The 22231-nt window shown below is 44.4% G+C and overlaps 1 protein-coding gene and 1 pseudogene across 6 annotated transcripts in view; both read left to right on the plus strand.

Annotated features, from left to right (window-relative positions):
• PHACTR4 (phosphatase and actin regulator 4) overlaps nt 1–22231 on the plus strand; it is a 130625-nt gene that overhangs the window by 101872 nt on the left and 6522 nt on the right. For all 6 annotated transcript variants that reach the window (NM_001350159.2, NM_001350160.2, NM_001350161.2 and 3 more), the window contains 7 exons: nt 1943–2540; nt 4496–4680; nt 8840–8993; nt 17559–17614; nt 19340–19401; nt 20039–20176; nt 21404–21480. In NM_001350159.2, the coding sequence (NP_001337088.1) occupies nt 1943–2540; nt 4496–4680; nt 8840–8993; nt 17559–17614; nt 19340–19401; nt 20039–20176; nt 21404–21480 (1270 nt within the window). The remainder of the gene's footprint in view (nt 1–1942; nt 2541–4495; nt 4681–8839; nt 8994–17558; nt 17615–19339; nt 19402–20038; nt 20177–21403; nt 21481–22231) is intronic.
• On the plus strand, nt 9751–9869 carry RNU6ATAC27P (RNA, U6atac small nuclear 27, pseudogene; annotated as a pseudogene).

Below are 22231 nucleotides of genomic sequence, written 5' to 3' on the forward strand. Positions count from 1 at the left end.
TCTTACAGGTCATCTGGAGCCCTCCAAAGGGACTTTGCTGAAACAACACCAACACCTTTGCTGAGTCATTGTGGGCTTTGGTGAAACTATAGGAATATATACTGTCATGATACAGGGTGAAGGCTTCTCATCTAATAAACATATATTGAGGGTCCACTAGATGCCAGGTACTGTGCACAGCCCTGTGGATGATATGTTGATGGAGACAAGGTTGCCCTGCCATCAAGGAGCCCATGATATAGTGGAGAGTGAACATGGGAAGCTGAGGTGCAAAGGGAACATAAGAGGTGTGCATACCAATAAAAATTAGAGACAGTAGGCCGGGCGCGGTGGCTCACGACTGTAATCCCAGCACTTTGGGAGGCCGAGGCGGGCGGATCACGAGGTCAGGAGATTGAGACCATCCTGGCTAACATGATGAAACCCCGTCTTTACTAAAAATACACAAAAAATTAGCCGGGAGTGGTGGTGGGCGCCTGTAGTCCCAGCTACTTGGGAGGCTGAGGCAGGCGAATGGTGTGAACCCGGGAGGCAGAGCTTGCAGTGAGCCGAGATGGCACCACTGCACTCCAGCCTGGGCGACAAGACTCCGTCTCAAAAAAAAAAAAAAATTAGAGACAGTAGGATGCAGTCAAATAGTCAGAGACTTGGATACCAGCTGAGTCCATGCCAGTTTGTAGTATGATCTTGGGCAAAGTCACCTAGCTTCTGTGGCCTTGCCTTTTCCTTCTGAAAAATGGTAAAGATGCTATATTTTTTCCCCTGTCACCTCAGGTGGTATAAGGAGAATATGACTTCAAGGACAAAAAACACTTTGATTTCTTCAAAGGACTTTGCAATTGCTATAAAAATTCAAGATGTCAGTATTGACAGTTTTATAACACAGAGCTAAGATATCTAGATACCATTATCAGGATATGGTAACAATACCCACTAATACTTATTTTATGCTATCTGAATGTTTAAATTTTTTAATGGAGTACTGTTATACAAAATAACTTTTTTTTTTTTGAGTCAGAGTCTTGTGCTGTCCAGCCTGGAGTGCAGTGGCATGACCTTGACTCACTGCAGCCTCCGCCTCCCAGGTTCAAGAGATTCTCGTGCCTCAGCCTCTCCTGAGTAGCTGGGATTATAGGTGCCCACCACCACACCTAGCTAATTTTTGTAATTTTTTTTTTTTTTTTTTAGTAGAGACGGGGTTTCACCATGTTGGCCAGGCTGGTCTCGAACTCCTGACCTAAGTAATCTGCCCACCTCGGCCTCCCAAAGTATTGGGATTACAGGTGTGAGCCACCGTGCCAGCCACAAGATAACTTTTTATCAGATTTTTTTTGTCTCTATTCATATTAACTACACCAAGATCAAGTTACAAAAAGTTGTCAGCCGGGTGCCATGGCTCACGCCTGTAATCCCAACACTTTGAGAGGCCAAGGCAGGTGGATCATTTGAGGTCAGGAGTTCGAGACCAGCCTGGCCAACATGGTGAAAGCCCGCCTCTACTAAAAATACAAAAATTAGCCGGGCCGTAGTGGCGTGCGCCTGTAATCTCAGCTACTTGGTAGACTGAGGCAGGAGTATCGCTTGAGCCCGGGAGGCAGAGGTTGCGGTAAGCCAAGATCGCGCCACTGCACTCCAGTCTGGGCGAGAGAGTGAGACCCTGTCTCAAAAAAAAAAAAAAAAAAAAAATTGTCATATCTGTTGCCATAGCAATGAAGTAAGCTACTCATCAGTCTTCCTACACCTCTGTACATTTATTAAGCCTTCTATTTGAATAAATATAAACTTCATTTCAGGATAAAATATATAGGGAATGGCAAAACTATGAAATTATTTAACTTGCTTAAAAGATTAAAACTGAACTCAACTTTAATTCTAGGCCCTGGGCCGGCCCTTCAAAGCATTGGAAAGTCGTGAAATTGATGTGTTGCTCTCTCTTTTCCAGCTGAACTGTCCCAAGCAATAAACAGTGGTACATTGTTATCAAAACCGTCCCCACCCTTACCACCTAAGAGAGGCATTCCATCAACCTCAGTACCCACCTTGGAGTCTGCTGCTGCCATCACCACAAAAACACCAAGTGATGAAAGAGAGAAGAGCACGTGTTCTATGGGCTCGGAACTACTACCAATGATCTCACCTCGCTCTCCGTCCCCCCCACTGCCTACTCATATACCTCCAGAGCCTCCACGCACCCCTCCATTCCCTGCTAAGACTTTTCAAGTTGTGCCAGAAATTGAGTTTCCACCATCCTTAGATCTACACCAGGAGATTCCCCAGCAGGAAGATCAGAAAAAGGAAGTCCCCAAGAGGATACTGGACCAGAACTTTGGGGAGCCCCATATACCCTCTAGGCTGCCTCCACTCCCACTGCATATTCGAATCCAGCAGGCCCTCACCAGCCCACTTCCCATGACTCCTATTCTGGAGGGTTCTCACAGAGCTCATTCGTTGCTTTTTGAAAACAGTGACAGCTTTTCTGAGGACAGCAGTACGCTGGGTCGGACCAGGTCTCTTCCCATCACTATTGAAATGCTAAAAGTGTAAGTGCCTTTAAAGCTTGCCTCTTATTTCTCCTTTACTCTAGATAGCCCTGCTTGGAAAAAATTACTTATAAAAAGAAAATGTGGGCCGGGCCTAGTGGCCCACACCTGTAAGCCCAGCACTTTGGGAAGCTGAGGCAAATGGACCGATCACCTGAGGTCAGGAGTTCAAGACCAGCCTGGCCAATACAGTAAAACCCTGTCTCGATGAAAATAACAAAAATTGGCCAGGCGTGGTGGCACATACCTGTAATCCCAGCTACTCGGGAGGCTGAGGCAGGAGAATCGCTTTAACAGGGAGGTGGAGGTTGCAGTGAGCCAAGACTGTGCCACTGTACTCCAGCCTGGGCGACAAAGCGAGTCTCTGTCTCACAGAAAAAAAGAAAATGTGAATAATTTTTTTTTTTCCGAGATGGAGTCCTGCTCTGTCACCCGGGCTGGAGTGCAGTGGCACGATCTCCGCTCACTGTAACCTCTGCCGCCCAGGTTCAAGCGATTCTCCTGCCTCAGCCTCCCGAGTAGCTGAGACTACAGGCATGTGCCACCACATTCGGCTGATTTTTGTATTTTTAGTGGAGATGGGGTTTCAACATGTTGGCCAGGCTGGTCTCGAACTCCTGACCTCAGGTGATCCACCTGCATCGGTCTCACAAAGTGCTGGGATTGCAAGTGTGAGCCACCGCGCCCAGCATTGTGAATAAATTTAAAGTACAAAGAATACTCTGCCAAAAGAATAAGTTATAGAATTTGGACTCTTTCTTTTTTTAATCTTACCTTAAAACTTTATTTTTATTTATTTATTTATTTATTTATGTTTGAGACAGGTTCTCACTCTCTCACTCAAGCTGGAGTCAGTGGTGCAGTCTTGGCTCACTGCAACCTCCATCTCCTGGGCTCAAGCAATTCTCCCTCCTCAGCCTCCCGAGTAACTGTGACTACAGGCGCATGCCATCACACCCAGCTAATTTTTATATTTTTTGTTAGAGATGGGATTTTGCCATGTTGCCCAGGCTCACCCTGAACTCCTGGGCTCAAGCAGTCTGCCTGCCTCAACCTCCCAGAATGCTGGGATCATGGGTGTGAGCCACTGCGCCTGGCCAAATTTTGATTTTTTACTCTTGTGATTTTTTTTTTTTCATGGAGATTTTTGTGATGACACAAAATTTACAAAATTATGTACATGAAAAATTACAACCGCTAGTTTTATATACTACAGGGAAGGCATTGTATAATGTTGTGCTTAAGAGCATTCACCTTGGAGTGAGATAGCCCTGGGTTCAAATTGCAGCACTACCACTCTTAGCTTATAGTAGTGTTAAGTTACTGAAGCCTTCTGCTCTTTAGTTATATCATCTCTAAATGGGAATAATATTTACTCTGTAGGCTTGTGAGAATGACATTAGACAAATTCTGGAAAGCACCAGTGCCTAATAAGTGGTAAAGCTGGGATCTGAACCCTTAGATTAATACCTGCTAAAAAGTTTCTTAGTAAGATTGTTAAAGTTAAGGGAGAGAATTAATTATAAGTTACTTCATCCATAGATTTTTTTGTATTTATGGTTATTTCAGTCCTTTGTCTTTTTTTTTTTTTTGAGATAGAATCTCACTCTTGTCACCCAGGCTGGAATGTAGTGGCACAATCTCGGTTCACTTCAACCTCTGCCTCCTGGGTTCAAGAGATTCTCCTGCCTCAGCCTCTCAAGTAGCTGGGATTACAGGCACCTGCCACCATGCCAGGCTAATTTTTGTATTTTTAGTAGACACAGGGTTTCACCATGTTGGCCAGGCTGGTCTCAAACTCCTGACCTCAGGTGAATTTGCCCACCTCCATCTCCCAAAGTGCTGGGATTACAGCCATGAGCCACCACGCCCAGTCTTTATTTCAGTCCTTTGTCTTAAAAGTCAGTTATCCTCTTCATTTCTAAAAGGAAAATATAATTATGTTAATTTGTTAGTCCAGACGATGAAGAAGAAGAGGAGCAAACCTGTCCATCCACATTCAGTGAAGAAATGACACCTACCTCAGTCATTCCTAAATTACCACAGTGTCTACGGGAGGAAGAAGAGAAGGAGAGCGACTCTGATTCAGAAGGTCCCATTCAGTACCGAGATGAAGAAGATGAAGATGAAAGCTATCAGAGTAAGAAAGGGAGGGAAAAGCAAAACAGAGAATTCTTTTCCAGATAAAACTATTTGCTGATCTTAGCAAGTGTCAAAAGAGATATGGAAACAGGTACCTTCTCCCATTAAGTCATCTGGCTAACTGATGTTGGAAGCCACTGTGAAGGACTCCTTGTCCCTATTATCACCCCTCTGTTAAAACAAGCCAAGACAGGGATCCAAGTAGATTGAGTCACTCAGGTTTTAGGTTTTTTGTTTTTTTTTGTTTTAATTTTTTTTTTTTTTTTTGGACAAGGTTTTGATCTGTCACCCAGCTGGAGTACAGTGGTGCAATCGTCGCTCACTGTAGCCTCCAACTCCTGGACTTAAGTGATCCTTACGCCTCAACCTCCCAAATAGCTAGGACAGATGTGTGCCACAACTGGTTAGGTTTCTTTGATTTTTTGTTTTGTTTTTTGTTTTTGTAGAGACAGGGTCTCGTTAGGTTGCCTAGCCTGTTCTTTTTTTTTTTTTTTGAGACGGAGTTTTGCTCTTGTTGCCCAGGCTGGAGTGCAATGGTGCGATCTCGGCTCAGTTTAACCTCCACCTCCCAGGTTCAAGCAATTCTCCTGTCTCAGCCTCCCAAGTAGCTGGGATTACAGGCATGTGCCACCACACCTGGCTAATTTTGTATTTTTAGTAGAGATGGGGCTTCACCATGTTGGTCAGACTGGTCTCAAACTCCCGACCTCAGGTGATCTGCCTGCCTCGGCCTCCCAAAGTGCTGGGATTATAGGTGTCAGCCACCGTGCCTGGCCATAAAAGATATATATATAATTTTTTTTTTTTTTTTAGACAGAGTCTTGCTCTGTCATCCAGACTGGAGTGCAGGGGCACGATCTCAACTCACTGCAACCTCCACCTCCCGGGTTCAAGCAATTCTCCTGCCTCAGCCTCCCAAGTAGCTGGGATTACAGGCGTCTGCCACTAGGCCCAGCTAATTTTTTTTTATTTTTAGTAGAGGCGGCGCTTCACTGTGTTGGCCAGGCTGGTCTCGAACTCGACCTCGTGATCCGCCCACCTCCCACAGTGCTGAGATTATAGGTGTGAGCCACTGTGCCCAGCTGCCCAGGCTGTTATTGAACTCCTGACCTCATGTGATCCCCCTGCCTTGACCTCCCAAAGCTCTAGGATTACAGGCATGAGCCACCGTGCCTAGCCTATTTTTAATTTTTATAGATATATAATAGTAATATATATTTATGGGGTACATGAGATATTTTGATATAAGCATGTGTGTATGGGTAATTAGGCTATCCATCTCAAGCACTTATCATTTGTTTGTATTGGGATTATTCCAAATCTACCTTTCTGGTTATCTTGAAATATACAATGAATTATTGTTAACTATAGTCACCCTATTGTGCCACCGAACACTAGATCTTATTCCTTTTTTTTTGAGACAGTGTCTCACTCTGCAGGCTAGAGTGCAGTGGCACAATCTCAGCTCAATGGAACCTCCACTTCCTGGCTCAAGCAATGCTCCAACCTCAGCCTCCCAAGTAGCTGAGAACACAGGTGTGAGCCACCACGCCCAGCTCATTTTTGTATTTTTTTATAGAGACAGCGTTTCACCATGTTGCCCAGGCTGGTCTCGAACTTGTGAGCTCAAAGTGATCTGCCCACCTCAGCTCCCAAAGTGCTGCGATTACAGGCATGAGCCACCACGCCCGGCCTAGATCTTATTTCTTCTATCTAATTCTGTTTTTATACCCATTAACCAGTCTCTCTCTCCCCCATCCCCTCTACCCTTCCCTGCCTCTGGTAACCACCATTTTATTTATTACCTCCATGAGATCAACTTTTTTAGCTCCCACGTAAGAGTGAGAACATACAACATTTATCTTTCTGTGCCTGGCTTATTTCACTTAACGTAATTGTCCTCCAGTTCCATCCATTTTGTTGCACATAACAGGATTTCTTTCTTTTTCATGGCAGAATAATCTTCAATTGTGTATATACACCACGTTTTCTTTATCCCTTCATTTATTGATGGACATTTAGTCTGATTCCATATCTTGGGGATTATAAATAGTACTGCAATAAGCATGACTGATTGATTTGCTGATTTCCTTTCTTTTGGATATGTACCCAACAGTGGGATTGCTGGATCGTATGGTAGTTCTATTTTTTTTTTAATAGACGGAGGCTCACTCTGTCACCAGGCAGGAGTGCAGAGGCACGATCTCAGCTCACTGTAACCTCCGCCTCCCAGGTTCAAGCGATTCTCCTGCCTCAGCCTCCCAAGTAGCTGGGATTACAGGTGTGTATCACCATGCCCAGCTCATTTTAGTTTTTGTTTTTGTTTTTGTTTTTGTTTTTTTAGTGGAGACAGGGTTTCACCATATTGGCTGGGATGGTCTTGATCTCTTGACCTCATGATCCACCTGCCTTGGCCTCCCAAAGTGCTGGGATTACAGGCATGAGCCACCGTGACTGGCCCGGTAGTTCTATTTTTAAGGGTGTTTTGTTTGTTTTGTTTTGTTTTTTAAGTAGAGACACAGTCTTGCTGTGTTGCTCAGACTGATCTGAAACTCCCAGCCTCAAGCAATCCTCCTGCCTTGGCCTCCCAATGTGCTGCATTACAAGCATGAGCCACCTCATTTGGCCTATTTTCAGTTTTTTAAGGAACCTCCATAGTGTTTTCCACAATGGCTGTACTAATTTCAGGTTTTTGTTTGCCCCCAATTTTAAAACTATTCACCTAAGTGCCTCTAATCCCAGCACTTTGGGAGGCCGAGGCCGGTGAGGTCAGGAGCTTGAGACCAGCCTGGCCAACATGGTGAAACCCCATCTCTTCTAAAGATAGAAAAAATTAGCCAGGCATGGCTGGCCACGGTGGCTCACACCTATAATCCCAACACTTTGGGAGGCCGAGGCAGGCGGATCACCTGAGGTCAGGAGTTCGAGATCAGCCTGGCCAATGTGGTGAAACCCCATCTCTACTAAAAATAAAAAATTGGCTGAGCATGGTAGCAGGCGCCTGTAATCCCAGCTACTCAGGAGGCTGAGGCAGGAGAATTGCTTGAACCCAGGAGACGGAAGTCGCAGTGAGCCAAGACTGTGCCACTACACTCCAGCCGGGGTCACAGAGCGAGACTCTGTCGCAAAAAAAAAAAAAAAAAGCCAGGCATGGTGACAGGCACCTGTAACCCCAGCTACTCAGGAGGCTGAGGCAGGAGAATTGCTTGAGCCTGGGAGGCGGAGGTTGCAGTGAGCCGAGATCTTGCCACTGCACTGCAACCTGGGCAACAGAGCAAGACTCCGCCTCAGAAAAAAAAAAAAAAAAAGAGGCCAGGCGTGGTGGCTCACGCCTATAATCCCTGCACTTTGGGAGGCCGAGGTGGGTGGATCACCTGAGGTCAGGAGTTCAAACCAGCCTGGCCAACATAACGAAACCCGAAACCCGGTGTCTACTAAAAATACAAAAAATTAGCTGGGCGTGGTGACCCACGCCTATAATCTCAGCTACTCAGGAGGCTAAGGCAGGAGAATCACTTGAACCTGGGAGGCGGAGGTTGCAATGAGCTGAAATCGTGACACTGCACTCCAGCCTGGGCAACAAGAGCAAAAGCTCTGTCTCAAACAAACAAACAAACAAAAAAACCAACAACAATATGGAGTAGAGGAAAGGTGGCACATGGGCTAAGGTGAAAAGATAAAAGTGATGTTTTCCCTTTGGTCTAATGAACTTATTGCCACAGGGCAGAGAAAAATAAACATTTTCATACCCTCACATCTTTGCAAATAATTGAGTCCTGATTAATTGAAGTAGAAAGGCAGCTTTAAAAACAGATAGACTATGAGGTGTTAGTATGAAAGCCTTTATGTTTTAATTCAGAGGGCTGTCCCATGCTTAGATTCTCTCTCCTGTAGCAACTCTTACCAAGGAGGAAAAATGTAGAGGCCTGATAGAAGAGAAAAGATACCTTTTAACCATCTTAGTCCACCTGGCTAAAAAGATTTTTAGGTGTCTTTAGCTTTACCCCCACCTCAGTGTTCAGCTGGATCATTTGAGGCCAGGTGGGAACTGGGAATTAAATATTGTATTTGTTCAGACTCTTGACTAGCTCCAGGTAAGGTTGAACCTTTGGCTTTAAGCCTCAAGTTCTACATTTTTTTCTTCCCCGTGTGCAAAGGTGCTCTCGCCAACAAAGTGAAGAGGAAAGACACACTGGCAATGAAGTTGAACCACAGACCCAGTGAACCAGAGTTGAACCTGAATTCTTGGCCTTGTAAAAGCAAGGAGGAGTGGAATGAAATACGGCACCAGATTGGAAACACACTGATCCGGTAGGCCTTTGCTTAGATTTGCTTGATTGATTTGGTTATGCCAGTATTTGTGTTAGATGTTGTTAGATGTGTTGTTTTTTTGTGTGTGTTTTGTTTCGTTTTCTGAGACAGGGTCTTGCTCTGTCACCCAGGCTGGAGTAGTGGCGCGATCTCGGCTCACTGTAACCTCCACCTCCCAGGTTCGAGCAATTCTCCTGCATCAGTCTCCTGAGTAGCTGGCGTTATAGGCACCTGCCACCACGCCAGGCTAATTTTTGTATTCTTAGCAAAGACAGCGTTTCGCCATGTTGGCCGGGCTGGTCTCGAACTGCTGGCCTCAAGTGATCACCCACCTTGGCCTCCACAAGTGCTGGGATTACAGGCATGAGCCCCTATACCTAGTCTATATGTTTACTTTGTTGTGGAGTATTCATTTATCTTTTTTAGTGTGATTTTTTTTTCTTTTCAGACAGAGTCTTGATCTGTCACCCAGGCTGGAGTGCAGTGGTTCAATCATGGCTCACCACCTCCAACTCTTGGGTTCAAGGCACCCTCCCACCTCAGCCTCTTGACTAGCTGGGTCCTCAGGCATGCGCCACCATGCACTGCTAATTTTTGTAATTTTTTGTAGAGACAGGGTCTCTCTGTGTTTCCCAGGCTGGTCTCAAACTCATGGCCTCAAACATTCCTCCCACGTTGCCCTCCGAAAGTCCTGGGATTATAGGTGTAAGCCACCACACCCATCACTTTGAGTATAATTTTAAAAAATACATATTGGGTTTTGCATGAAAGGAGAGAAGGTTAGCACTCCACTTGACAAGGATGGAAGAGGCCCTTTGGGCCTGACAACACACATACAAGGCATTGCCACCTACTACGTGGCATCTAACTATCTTTACAAAAAAAGAAAAAGAAAAGAAAAGAGGCTGGGTGCAGTGGCTCATGCCTGTAATCCTAGAACTTCGGGAGGCTGAGGTAGGCAGATCATCTGAGGTCAGGAGTTCAAGACCAGCCTGACCAATATGATGAAACCCCATCTCTACTAAAAATACAAAAATTAGCCAGGCATGGTGGCATGCGCCTATAGTCCCAGCTACTCGGGAGGCTGAGATCGGAGAATTGCTTGAACCCAAGAGGCAGAGGCTGCAGTGAGCTGAGATCGCGCCACTGTACTGCAGCCTGGGCAACAGAGTGAGACTCCATCTAAAAAAAAAAAAAAGAAAAGAAAAGAAACAAAAAAATATATATTGGACACAGTTGGGTATCCTCTAAGAATTTGGAAATTGAAGATGTAGCTGCCTGTGAGAGTTTTATTTTATTTATTTTATTTTTGAGATGGAGCCTCGCTCTGTCACCCAGGCTGGAGTGCAATGGTGCAATCTCGGCTTACTGCAACCTCTGCCTCCCGGGTTCAAGTGCTTCTCCTGCCTCAGCCTCCTGAGTAGCTGGGACTACAAGCTCATACCACCACACCTGGCTAATTTTTGTATTTTTAGTAAAGATGGGGTTTCACCATGTTGGCCAGGCTGGTCTCGATCTCCTGACTCAGGTGATCTGCCCGCCTTCGACTCACAAAGTGCTGGGATTACAGGTGTGAGCCACCACACCTGGCCAGCCTGTGAGAGCTTTAAACCATGAGATAGACATATGGTTTTGCAAAAGTTTCTACATAAATCAGAATGGTTCCCAGAACAGAAAGGCTCCTCTGTCACTTTTTTTATCTGGTTGCTTAACCATAAGATGCCAACCCAATTAACAGTCACACCCATATTTGCATTATATCTGTTTCATATGTTCCGTGTAACTGCCTCCTTTCAAAGTGTTGGTATATTTTTCAAGTCAACTGGAACCAAAAGTATAGAGAAACTGAATGCAAGCCAGCTTTCTGCATATGTAACAGTGTAAGAATCCAGGTTGTATAGATGGGTTTTTGTTTGACACAGATGTTTCTCCCAGTAAAGAGAGGATAAGGAGCTGGAACTCGTGGCACAGTTCCCTACAAAATAATTAATTGATCATGTCTACTAATTAAAATTTCTTTTTCTGTACTATTGCAGATACCTGGTTTTGGCTGGGCAAGGTGGCTCACACCTATAATCCCAACATTTTGGGAGGCTCACTTGAGGTGGGAGGCTCACTTGAGCCCAGGAGTTTCAGAGCAACCCGGGCAACAAAGTGAGATCCCATCTGTACAAAAAATTAAAAAATTAGCTGGGCATGGTGGCACATACCTCTAGTCCAGCTATTCTGGAAGCTTAGGTAGAAGGATCACTTGAGCCTGAGAGATCAAGGCCGCAGTATGCTGTAATTGCACCACTGCACTCCACCCTGGGTGACAGAGCAAAACCCTGTCTCAAAAAAAAAAAAAAAGAGACACCTGGCTTTACTGTGTATGCTGTACCTCAGGGCAAGTTTTCCCTTTGTCTTCTAATAGACACTTTTTGGATCCAGAAATTGTTCTCTGCAATTTCTTTACTTAAACATAATTATCAGCCTGTATGACCTCTGTGGTCTGACTACTTTGAAATTAAGGGAGAAGGCTGGGCACGGTGGCTCACTCCTGTAATCCCAGCACTTTGGGAGGCTGAGGTGGGCGGATCACTTGAGCCCAGGAGTTCGAGGCAACATGACAAGACCCTGTCTCGACAAAAAAACAAAAAACTTAGCCAGACATGGTGACACACGTTTATGGTCCCAGCTACTCAAGAGGCTGAGGCAGGGGGATTGCTTGAGCCCAGGAGGGGCTCAAGGTCGGCCCAGGAGGTCAAGACCCAGGCGATCAAGGCCCAGGAGGTCAAGACTGCAGTGAGCTGTGCTCATGCCCCACTGCACTCCAGCCCAGTCATCAGAGCAAAACCTTGTCTCAAAAAAAAGTAAAGAAAGACATGTTTATTATATGGTAGTTTGAAAAATTACAAAAAAAAGAGATAAATCATGGCCGGACGCGGTGGCTCACGCCTGTAATCTCAGCACTTTGGGAGGCCGAGGCGGGTGGATCATGAGGTCAGGAGATCAAGGCCATCCTGGCTAACACGATGAAACCCCGTCTCTACTAAAAATACAAAAAAATTAGCTGGGTGTGGTGCTGGGCCTGTAGCCCAGCTACTCGGGAGGCTGAGGCAGGAGAATGGCATGAACCTGGGAGGTGGAGCTTGCAGTGAGCTGACATCGTGCCACTGCACTCCAGCCTGGGTGACAGAGCAAGACTCCGTCTCAAAAAAAAAAAAAAAAAAAAAGAGAGAGATAAATCAGCCATAATCCTATACCCTATAAGCCAGGATTTGGCAAACTTCTTCTGTAAAGAACCAAATAGTAAATATTTTAGGATAGGGTGCAGTGGCTCATGCCTATAATCTCCGTACTTTGGGAGGCCAGTGTGGAAGAATTGCTTGAGGCCAGGAGTTTGAGACCAGCCTGGGTAACATAGTAAGACTCTATCACTACAAAAATAAAAATAGGTCAGGCACAGTGGCTCACACCTGTAATCCCAGCACGTTTGAAGGCCGAGGCAGGTGGATCACATGAGATCAGGAGTTCCAGACCAGCCTGGCCAACATGGTGAAACCCCATCTACTAAAAATACAAAAATTAGCCAGGCGTGGTGGCGCCCACCTGTAATCCCAGCTACTCAGGACACTGAGGCAAGAGAATCACTTGAACCCAGGAGGCAGAGGTTTCAGTGAGCTGAGATCACACCATGGCACTCCAGTCTGGACGACAGAGTAAGACTCCATCTCAAAAAATAATAAATAAAATAGCCAGGCATGGTAGCATGCCCCTGTAGTCCTAGCTACGTGGGAGGCTGTGGCAGCAGAACTACTTAAGCCCAGTAGTCTATATACTAGACAGGGCATAAATATAGTTATATTTAATATATTTAATATATGTGTGTATGTGTATATATATGTGTGTATGTGTATATATATGTGTGTATGTGTATATATGTGTGTATGTGTATATATATGTGTGTATGTAATATATATGTGTGTATGTAATATATATGTGTACGTGTGTGTATATATGTCCATATATATATATGGATTTGATGGCCATATAAACTCTCTCTTTTTTTTTTTCCTACCTTTAAAAATATAAAAACATGGGTCGGGCGCAGTGGCTCATGCCTGTAATCCCAGCACTTTGGGAGGCCGAGGCGGGTGGATCACGAGGTCAGGAGACAGAGACCATCCTGGCTAACACGGTGAAACCCCATCTCTACTAAAATTACAAAAAATTTAGCCGGGTGGTGGCAGGCACCTGTAGTCCCAGCTACTCGGGAGGCTGAGGCAGGAGAATCGCTTGAACCCAGGGGACAGAGGTTGCAGTGAGCTGAGTTCACACCACTGCACTCCAGCCTGGGCAACAAGAGCAAAAGAAACTCCGTTTCAAAAGAAAATATAGTTTATACATACAGTGGAATATTATTTAATCTTAAAAAAGAAGGAAATCCTCCAATATGCTAACAACATAGTCAAACCTTGAGGACATTAATATGAGTAAGCCAGTCACAGAACAATAAATACTGCATGATTCCACTTCTGCGAGGTATCTGAAATAGTCACATTTATAGAAGCAGAGAGTAGAAAGATAGTTGTCAGGGGCTCGGGATTGAAGGCAGGGGTGATAGGGAGTTGCTAATAAATAAGTATAAAGTTTTAGTTATGCATGATGAGTAAGTTCTAGAGATCCACTGTACAACATTGTGTTTATAGTTAATACTGTAGACTGGGCGCGGTGGCTCACGCCTGTAATCCCAACACTTTGGGACACCGAGGCAGGCAGATCACGAGGTCAGGAGGTCAAGACCAGCCTGGCCAACGTGATGAAACCCCATCTCTACTAAAAATACAAAAATTAGCCGGGTGTTGTGGCAGGCACCTGTAATCCCAGCTAGTCAGGAGGCTGAGGCAGGAGAATTGCTTGAACCCGGGAGGCAGAGGTTTCAGTGAGCCGGGATCCCGTGCCACTGCACTCCAGCCTGGGCAACAGAGTGAGACTCTGTCTCAATCAATCAGTCAATAGTTAATACTGTATTGGCCAGGTGTGGTGGCTCATGCCTATAATCCCAATACTTTGGGAGGCCGAGGCAGGCGTATCACGAGGTCAGGAGTTCCAGACCAGCCTGACCAACATGGTGAAACCCCATCTCTACTAAAAATACAAAAATTAGCCGGGTGTGGTGGCGCATGCCTGTAATCCCAGCTACTCAGGAGGCTGAGGCAGGAGAATCGCTTGAACCTGGGAGGCAGAGGTTGCAATGAGCCAAGATCACGCCACTGCACTCCAGCCTGGGCAACAGAGTGAGACTCTCCATCTCAAAAAAAATAATAATAATACTGTATTGTACACTTAAAAGTCTGTTCAAAAGGTAGATCTCATAGTAAGTGTTATCACTATAAAATAAGATTGAAATTTAAAAAAACACACACAATAAGAGACCACCACGAGTACACTAGGATGGCTAAAGTTATGCAATTTAAAAGACTGACAAGGCCGGGTGTGGTGGCTCACCCCTGTAATCCCAGCACTTTGGGAGGCCGAGGCAGGCAGATCACCTGAGGTTGGGAGTTCGAGACCAGCCTGATCAACATGGAGAAACTTCATCTCTACTAAAAATACAAAATTAGCTGGGCGTGGTAGCACATGCCTGTAATCCCAGCTACTTGGGAGGCTGAGGCAGGAGAATCACTTGAACCGGGGAGGCAGAGGTTACAGTGAGCCAAGATCGGGCCACTGCACTCCAGCTTGGGCAACAGTGCAAAACTCTGTCTCAAAAAGAAAGGAAAGGAAATAAATACAGGAGTGATATGTTCATTCTTGCAATTGTGATGATGATTTCACAGGTGATATATGGCAAAAGTGGCCAAATTGTACATGTTAAGTATGTACACAGTTGTACATATTTACAGTATTATTGTGTCAGTTATATCGTATTAAAGCTGGTTTGTTTTTTGTTTTTTGTTTTTTGTTTTTCCGAAGAACATTTAAAAAGGAAGGCCCAGGCCAGGCATGGTGGCTCATGCCTGTAATCCCAACACTTTGGGAGGCTGAGGTAGGAAGATCACTTAACGTCTGGAGTTCAAGACCAGCCTGACCAACATGCTGAAACCCCATCTCTATTAAAAGTTAGCTGGGCCTAGTGGTGCATGCCTGTAGTCTCAGCTACTCAGGAGGCTGAGGCAGGGCAATCACTTGAACCCAGGAGGCTGAGGTTGCAGTGAGCCAAGGTGGCGCCAGTGCACTCCAGCCTGGGCGACAGAGTGAGACTCTGTCTCAAAAAAAAAAACAGGAAGGTCCAGCTGGGTGTGGTGGCTAACATCTCTAATTCCAGCCCTTTGGGAGGCTGAGCTGGGGGAATCACTTGAGCCCAGGAATTTGAGACCAGCCTGGGCAATATGGCAAAACTCCATCACTACCAAAAATAAAAAAATTAGCCAGCCCAGTCTCTAAATAAATAAATACATACATACATACATACGTACTTTTTAAAAAATAAAATGGGGCGGGGCACAGTGGCTCACGCCTGTAATCCCAGCACTTTGGGAGGCCGAGGCAGGCGGATCACAAGGTCAGGAGATTGAGACCATCCTGGCTAACACGGTGAAACGCCATCTCTACTAAAACTACAAAAACTTAGCCGGGCATGGTGGCACGCGCCTATAGTCCCAGCTACTCGGGAGGCTGCGGCAGGAGAATCTCTTGAACCTGGGAGGCGGAGGTTGCAGTGAGCCGAGATCAAGCCACTGTATTCCAGCCTGGGCGGCAGAGCAAGATTCTGCCTAAAAAAAAATAAAAATAAAATAAAAATAAATAAATAAAATGGAAGATCCTTGAGGTAGGAGGATCATTTGAGCCTAGGAGGTGGAGCTGCAGTGAGCTGTGATCGCACCACTGCACTCTAGCCTGGGTACAGAGTGAGACCCTGACACACACACAAAAAAAAAAAAAAAAAAAGGAAGGTCTTGTTCAGAAAGAAAAGTTGTATATAGAATGGGACTGGAAGTTCCTTATGCAAGCAACAGAAGAGTTGAAAATTTTGCAAGTACTAGCTAATTAGCCCAAATACTGTCTGAGAAGTATAAATTAAAAGTAAGAAATGAATAACTTTCTGATTTCAAAAATGACAAATTGTAGTTTTTTGTTGTTTTTTTTTTTTTTTTTTTTTTTTTTGAGATGGAATCTCACTCTGTCGCCCAAGCAGGAGTGCAGTAGCATGAGCTTCAGCTCACTGCAACCTCCATCTCCCAGGTTCAAGCATTCTCCTGCCTCAGCCTCCCGAGTAGCTGGGACTACAGGAGCACGCCACAACATCCGGCTAATTTTTGTATTTTTCAGTAGAGACAGGGTTTCACCATGTTGGCCAGGCTGGTTTTGAGTTCCTGACCTCAGGTGATCCACCTGCTTCAGCTTCCCAAAGTGCTGGGGATTACATGCATGAGCCACCACACCTGGCCAACAAATTGTTATTGGTGAATAACATCTCAGAACTGTGATGAGGTGAGATAACTTTATCAAATGCTTCACAGAGAAGACTGAGATTTAAATCATAGAATTATAGAATATCACACAGAAAGAGACAAACTTAAATTCCAGTGGTTCCTAAACCACTGATTTAAAAACCTAGCTGGGCATGGCCAGGCGTGGTGGCTCACGCCTGTAATCCCAGCACTTTGGGAGGCCGAGGCAGGCGGATCACAAGGTCAGGAGATCGAGACCATCCTGGCTAACACGGTGAAACCCCGTCTCTACTAAAAATACAAAAAATTAGCCAGGCGTGGTGGCAGGCGCCTGTAGTCCCAGCTACTTGGAAGGCTGAGGCAGGAGAATGTCATGAACCCGGGAGGCGGAGCTTGTAGTGAGCCGAGATTGCACCACTGCACTCCAGCCTAGGTGACAGAGCAAGACTCCATCTCAAAAATAACCTAGCTGGACATAATGGCTTGCGCCTATAATCCCAGCAGTTTGGGGGGCCAAGGCGGGAAGATAGCTTGAGCCCAGGAGGAGTTCAAGACTATCCTGGGCAACAGAGTGAGACCCTCATCTCTATTTTCAAAAAATTGTAAAAAAAAAAAATCTAAAGAGGGGCATCTGAGTCATAGAAGAAGTTTTGTGAAAAAAAAAATCTATATATAGATATATGTAATTTCATTTTTCATCCTGATTTTCTGAATCAGAATTTCTGTTAACGTTTCTTGGGAATCTGTGTTTTCTAAAAAGTCTCTAATGCTTCTGAAGGAGCAAATTTGTTTAGGAGCCACCAGTTCGGTCCAAACCTTCGCTTCACGGATGAGGACACTCAAGGTCTAACTGAACTTTTTTGTGCTAATAGCTCTTATCAAGGTCTAGAACTAGAATCCTGGCCACTTGTTTGCATATACAGTTCCTTTTTATAATGTGATATCTGTGTTAACACTTTTAATGTGAAATTGTTTTATAAACAATCATAAATAAATGAAATATATCAGTTTGAAAATTTGTTGATTTCTTACTTATATAGGGGCTAATATATACTGTGACCAAAAAAATCTTTATAAACAAGATTGGGAGGTTTAACATAAACATTACCTTTATTTATCTCATTTTTAGGCGACTGAGTCAAAGACCAACACCAGAAGAACTAGAACAACGCAATATATTGCAACGTGAGTCCAGTTATGGAAATAAAGTTGTATAGATTTTCTTTGTATGTTTCTGACTTTAATATACATAAAAGAAAAAAGAAGCGTTTGCTACAAGGGCTAAGGGAGAGTGTTCCAGCCAGGCAAGGACTATTTATTTCCCCATGAAGGAACAGAGCTTACCAAGCTTCCTTTGGAAGATGCTATTATGGTATTGTTTAGTGTGCTGTGATACTCTAGAAAGCTTTGTTTCAGTGTTCTCACTGTATCCTGGAACTGCCTTGGGCATTTGGGAGGCTTTGACAGTATATGGGAGATGTGCCCAATTTTTCTGTTTTCAGGGAGCTAAGGAGGTAGCTGTGCATATGGAGACCTTCCTATTCCTAGAATGTGAGGGCTGGGGCCCAAAGCAAGTCCCAAATGCAGCAGCTTTTCTCTTGGTTTAATCCCTTAAGACTTTCTTACCTCTGTAGTTACCAAATGGGACCATATATTTAATTTGCTGTCTGTGTACATAATTAATTTCCTGAAATAGCATTCTAATCTAGTACATATTTCATTTGTTTTTCCAGAATATAGAGTGAAATTTGGCCTTAAAAGTCTCCTCACTGAGAAGGTTTGGGCTTCCTTGGGGCTATTTGTGAGCATGTTCAGTCTGACCAATCCATCCCCTGTTCTCTCAGCACTACTTGGGTATACACAACTTAATAACTTAGTACATTTTCTAGTGTGGGAGCCCTTATAACGTATCACACAAAACTCAGTGTGATCACCATTGTCCATTCTTAGCAGTTACTCTTGAGCAAGAATCTGCAGGCTTTTCCTTAAAGCATACATAGTAAACATTTTGGGTTTTGCAGGCCAAAAAGCAAATGAACAACTATACGTAATAGGTCCTTACAAAACCATTTAAAAATGTGAAGACTATTCTTAGTTCATGGGCAGGAAAAATACAGGCAACTGGCGAGATGTGGTGCCATAGTTTGCTGACTCTTGCTTTTAAGTATTTGTATCGTTGACAAGAAAATTGTTTTGTTTAGCCATCCCCAAAGTTAGTATTTTATTCTGATTTGGGCCTATAAGAAATATCTGGGCCGAGGCGAGTGGATCACAAGGTCAGGAGATCGAGACCATCCTGGCTAACATGGTGAAACCCCGTCTCTACTAAAAATACAAAAAAATTAGCCGGGCATGGTGGCGGGCGCCTGTAGTCCCAGCTACTCGGGAGGCTGAGGCAGGAGAATGGCGTGAACCCGGGAAGCGGAGCTTGCAGTGAGCCGAGATTGCGCCACTGCACTCCAGCATGGGCGACAAAGCAAGACTCCATCTCAAAAAAAAAAAAGAAAAAAAAAGAAATATCTGGGCTGGGCACGGTGGCTCACGCCTGTAATCCCAGCACTTTGGAAGGCCGAGGCGGGTGGATCACCTGAGGTCAGGAGTTTGAGACCAGCCTGACCAATATGATGAAACTCTGTCTCTACTAAAAATACAAAAATCAGCTGTGCATGGCATGTGCCTGTAATCCCAGCTACTCGGGAGGCTGAGACAGGAGAATCGCTTGAACTCGGGAGGCCGAGGTTGCAGTGAGCCAAGATTGTACCATTGCACTCCAGCCTGGGCAACAAGAGCAAAACTCCGTCTCAAAAAAAAAAAACAAAAAAGAAATATCTGTAATGTAATTACTAAAACGTTTGATATGCAAATTGTCATTTGTGAGTAATATTCCTTCCTTCTGATTGTCAACTGTAGCTAAAAATGAAGCTGATCGTCAGGCAGAAAAACGAGAAATTAAACGTCGGCTCACTAGAAAGGTACTACTGCCTGTGTGTTCAGTTAACTATATGTGTTATATTTGGATGGCCTATTTGATTGGAAATGAATTCACAGCTGGGCACAGTGGCTTGCGCCTGTAATCCCAGCACTTTGGAAGGCCATGGCAGGAGGATTGCTTGAGCCCAGGAGTTCAAGACCAGCCTGGGGAAAACAGTGAAACCTTGTGTCTACATTAAAAAAAAAAAAAAGAAGAAGAAAGAAAAGAAAAAGAAAAAAATGAATTTGCAGCCTGGGCAACATGGCAAGACCCCACCTCTACAAAAAAAAATATATATTAGCCAGGCATGGTGGTATGCGCCTGTAATATCAGCTACTTGGGAGGCTGAGGTAGGAGGATCATTTGAGCTTGGGAGGTTGAGGCTGCAGTGAGCTGTGATTGTGCCACTGCACTCCAGCCTGGGTGACAGGGCAAGACCCTGTCTCAAAAAAAAAAACAAAACAAAAAACCACCTGATAACCATAATCACTGGGGGTGGGACCTCCAGGGATCAATAGTGTCTAAAGCTCCCCCAGGTGATTCCAATGAAGATTGAAGCACTGGGTTAGAGGCAATTTGAATGCATGATTGATGCCTAATTATTGGCTTGGTGAACTAAGAGGCTCCGTTTCCTTCAGCTCAGTCAAAGGCCAACTGTCGCTGAACTCCTTGCCAGGAAGATTCTGAGGTTTAATGAATATGTAGAGGTAACAGATGCTCAAGATTATGACCGGCGAGCCGACAAACCTTGGACCAAACTGACCCCTGCTGACAAGGTACCTGGAAAGCACTCTCTTGCTTTTTTTCTCTTTCTCTTTTTCTCTTTATTTGGAGGATCCAAGATACTAACTAGAAGGGAGAACCATAAACAAAACTTCTAGTTTTAATATAATATTAAATTTCAAATCAAGATACAAAATGCCAAGTTGAACAAGTCAAAATGTTATACTAACTCAGTATGTTTTGGTAACTCCACCACCAATACTGAAAGAAAGAAAATCCCTGCTATCTCACAGAGTAAAAATACTGGAAGGAATAAATACATTTCAAACAGTGGTTGTTTGGTTAGAGGGAGTTTGGGCTATATATTTTAGTAATTACCAATATTTCATTTTTATAATGCTGTGAAAAACTATAAAAGCTGGCCAGGCGTGGTGGCTTATGCCTGTAATCCTAGCACTTTGGGAGGCCAATGCAGAGGGATCACTCGAGGTAAGGAGTTCGAGACCAGCCTGGCCAACATGGTGAAACCCCATCTCTACTAAAAATACAAAAATTAGCTGGGTGTGATGGCATGCACCTGTAATACCAGCTACTTGGAAGGCTGAAGCAGGAGAATTGCTTGAACCTAGGAGGTGGAGGTTGCAGTGAGCCAAGATCATGCCAATGCACTCCAGCCTGGGCAGCAGAGTGAGACTCCACCTCAAAAATAAAAATAAAAAATTAAAATTAAAAAAAAAACAAAACTAGCCAGGTGCAGTGGCTCACACCTGTAATCCCAGCACTTTGGGAGGCCGAAGCAGGTAGATCTCTTGAGGTCAGGAGTTCAAGACCAGCCTGGCCAACATGGTGAAACCCTGTCTGTACTAAAAATACAAAATAGCCGGACGTGGTAGTGCGCACCTGTAATCCCAGCTATTCGGGAGGCTGAGGCAGGAGAATCGCCTGAACCCAGGAGCTGAAGGTTGCAGTGAGCTGAGATTGCACCACTGCACTCCAGCCCCAGCAACGGAGCGAGATTCCATCTCAGGGAAAAACAAAAATAAAAACAAAACTATAAAAGCTACAATATATCTTTCAAGATTTTCAAGTATTTTGATTAAACTAAAAATTTTAGGTTTATTATGAGACAGATGGGTATCATTGTGTTGACCTGGTGTCTGGGTTGCCTGTGAGGGGTTGCAGTGACTTACAAAGTTAAACACAGTACAGAAAAATGACAAGTTACACTGCTGTGCAAAGCAGCCAGAAGAAGCTGAAACATTTTTGTCTCTACTCCACAGGCTGCCATAAGAAAAGAATTAAATGAATTTAAAAGCTCCGAGATGGAGGTTCATGAAGAGAGCAAACATTTTACACGGTAAGACCCAAAAGACCCAATCATATATGTGCTAGGTAGAGTTTTCCAAAAAATTGTTCAGATATGAAGGGCTCTAATGACATCAGTAAAAAGGAAAACACTCAGTGTTGATTGCAAGACTGCATTCAAAGGGATGAAAAGTAAGAAGCAATAGTAAATGCCTAGGCCAGGTGCGGTGGCTCACGCCTGTAATCCCAGTACTTTGGGAGGCTGAGGCAGGTGGATCACCTGAGGTCAGGAGTTTGAGACCAGCCGGACCAACATGGCAAAACCCCATCTCTACTAAAAATACAAAAATTAGCTGGGCCTGGTAGCAGGCGCCTGTAATCCCAACTATTAGGGAGGATGATGCGGGAGAATCACTTGAACCCGGGAGATGGAGGTTGTAGTGAGCTGAGATCATGCCATTGCACTCCAGCCTGGGTGACAAGAGCAAAACTCCATCTCAAAAAAAAAAAAAAAATAAGTAAATGTGTATTCTGATTATGGCATTTCATGTATATTATTTAATCCTTGTAATAAACATGCAAGATGTGTTAACATCCCCATTTTATCACTGAGGAAATGGAGGCTCACAATGGTTAAGTAACTTGGTTGACTTGCTAGTAAATTGCAGAACCAGGATTCGGAGAAAGAAATCAATGACTTCAAGGATGTGAGGTGCTCTCTTCCTTGTACCTTACTCTCTCAGGTTATAAATGAGGAGACTGTGCTAAGTTAGACAAGATCTTGCCCTCTCTGGTTCAGTTCT

The sequence above is a fragment of the Homo sapiens genome, chromosome 1, assembly GCF_000001405.40.
Source record: "Homo sapiens chromosome 1, GRCh38.p14 Primary Assembly".
NCBI lineage: Eukaryota > Metazoa > Chordata > Mammalia > Primates > Hominidae > Homo > Homo sapiens.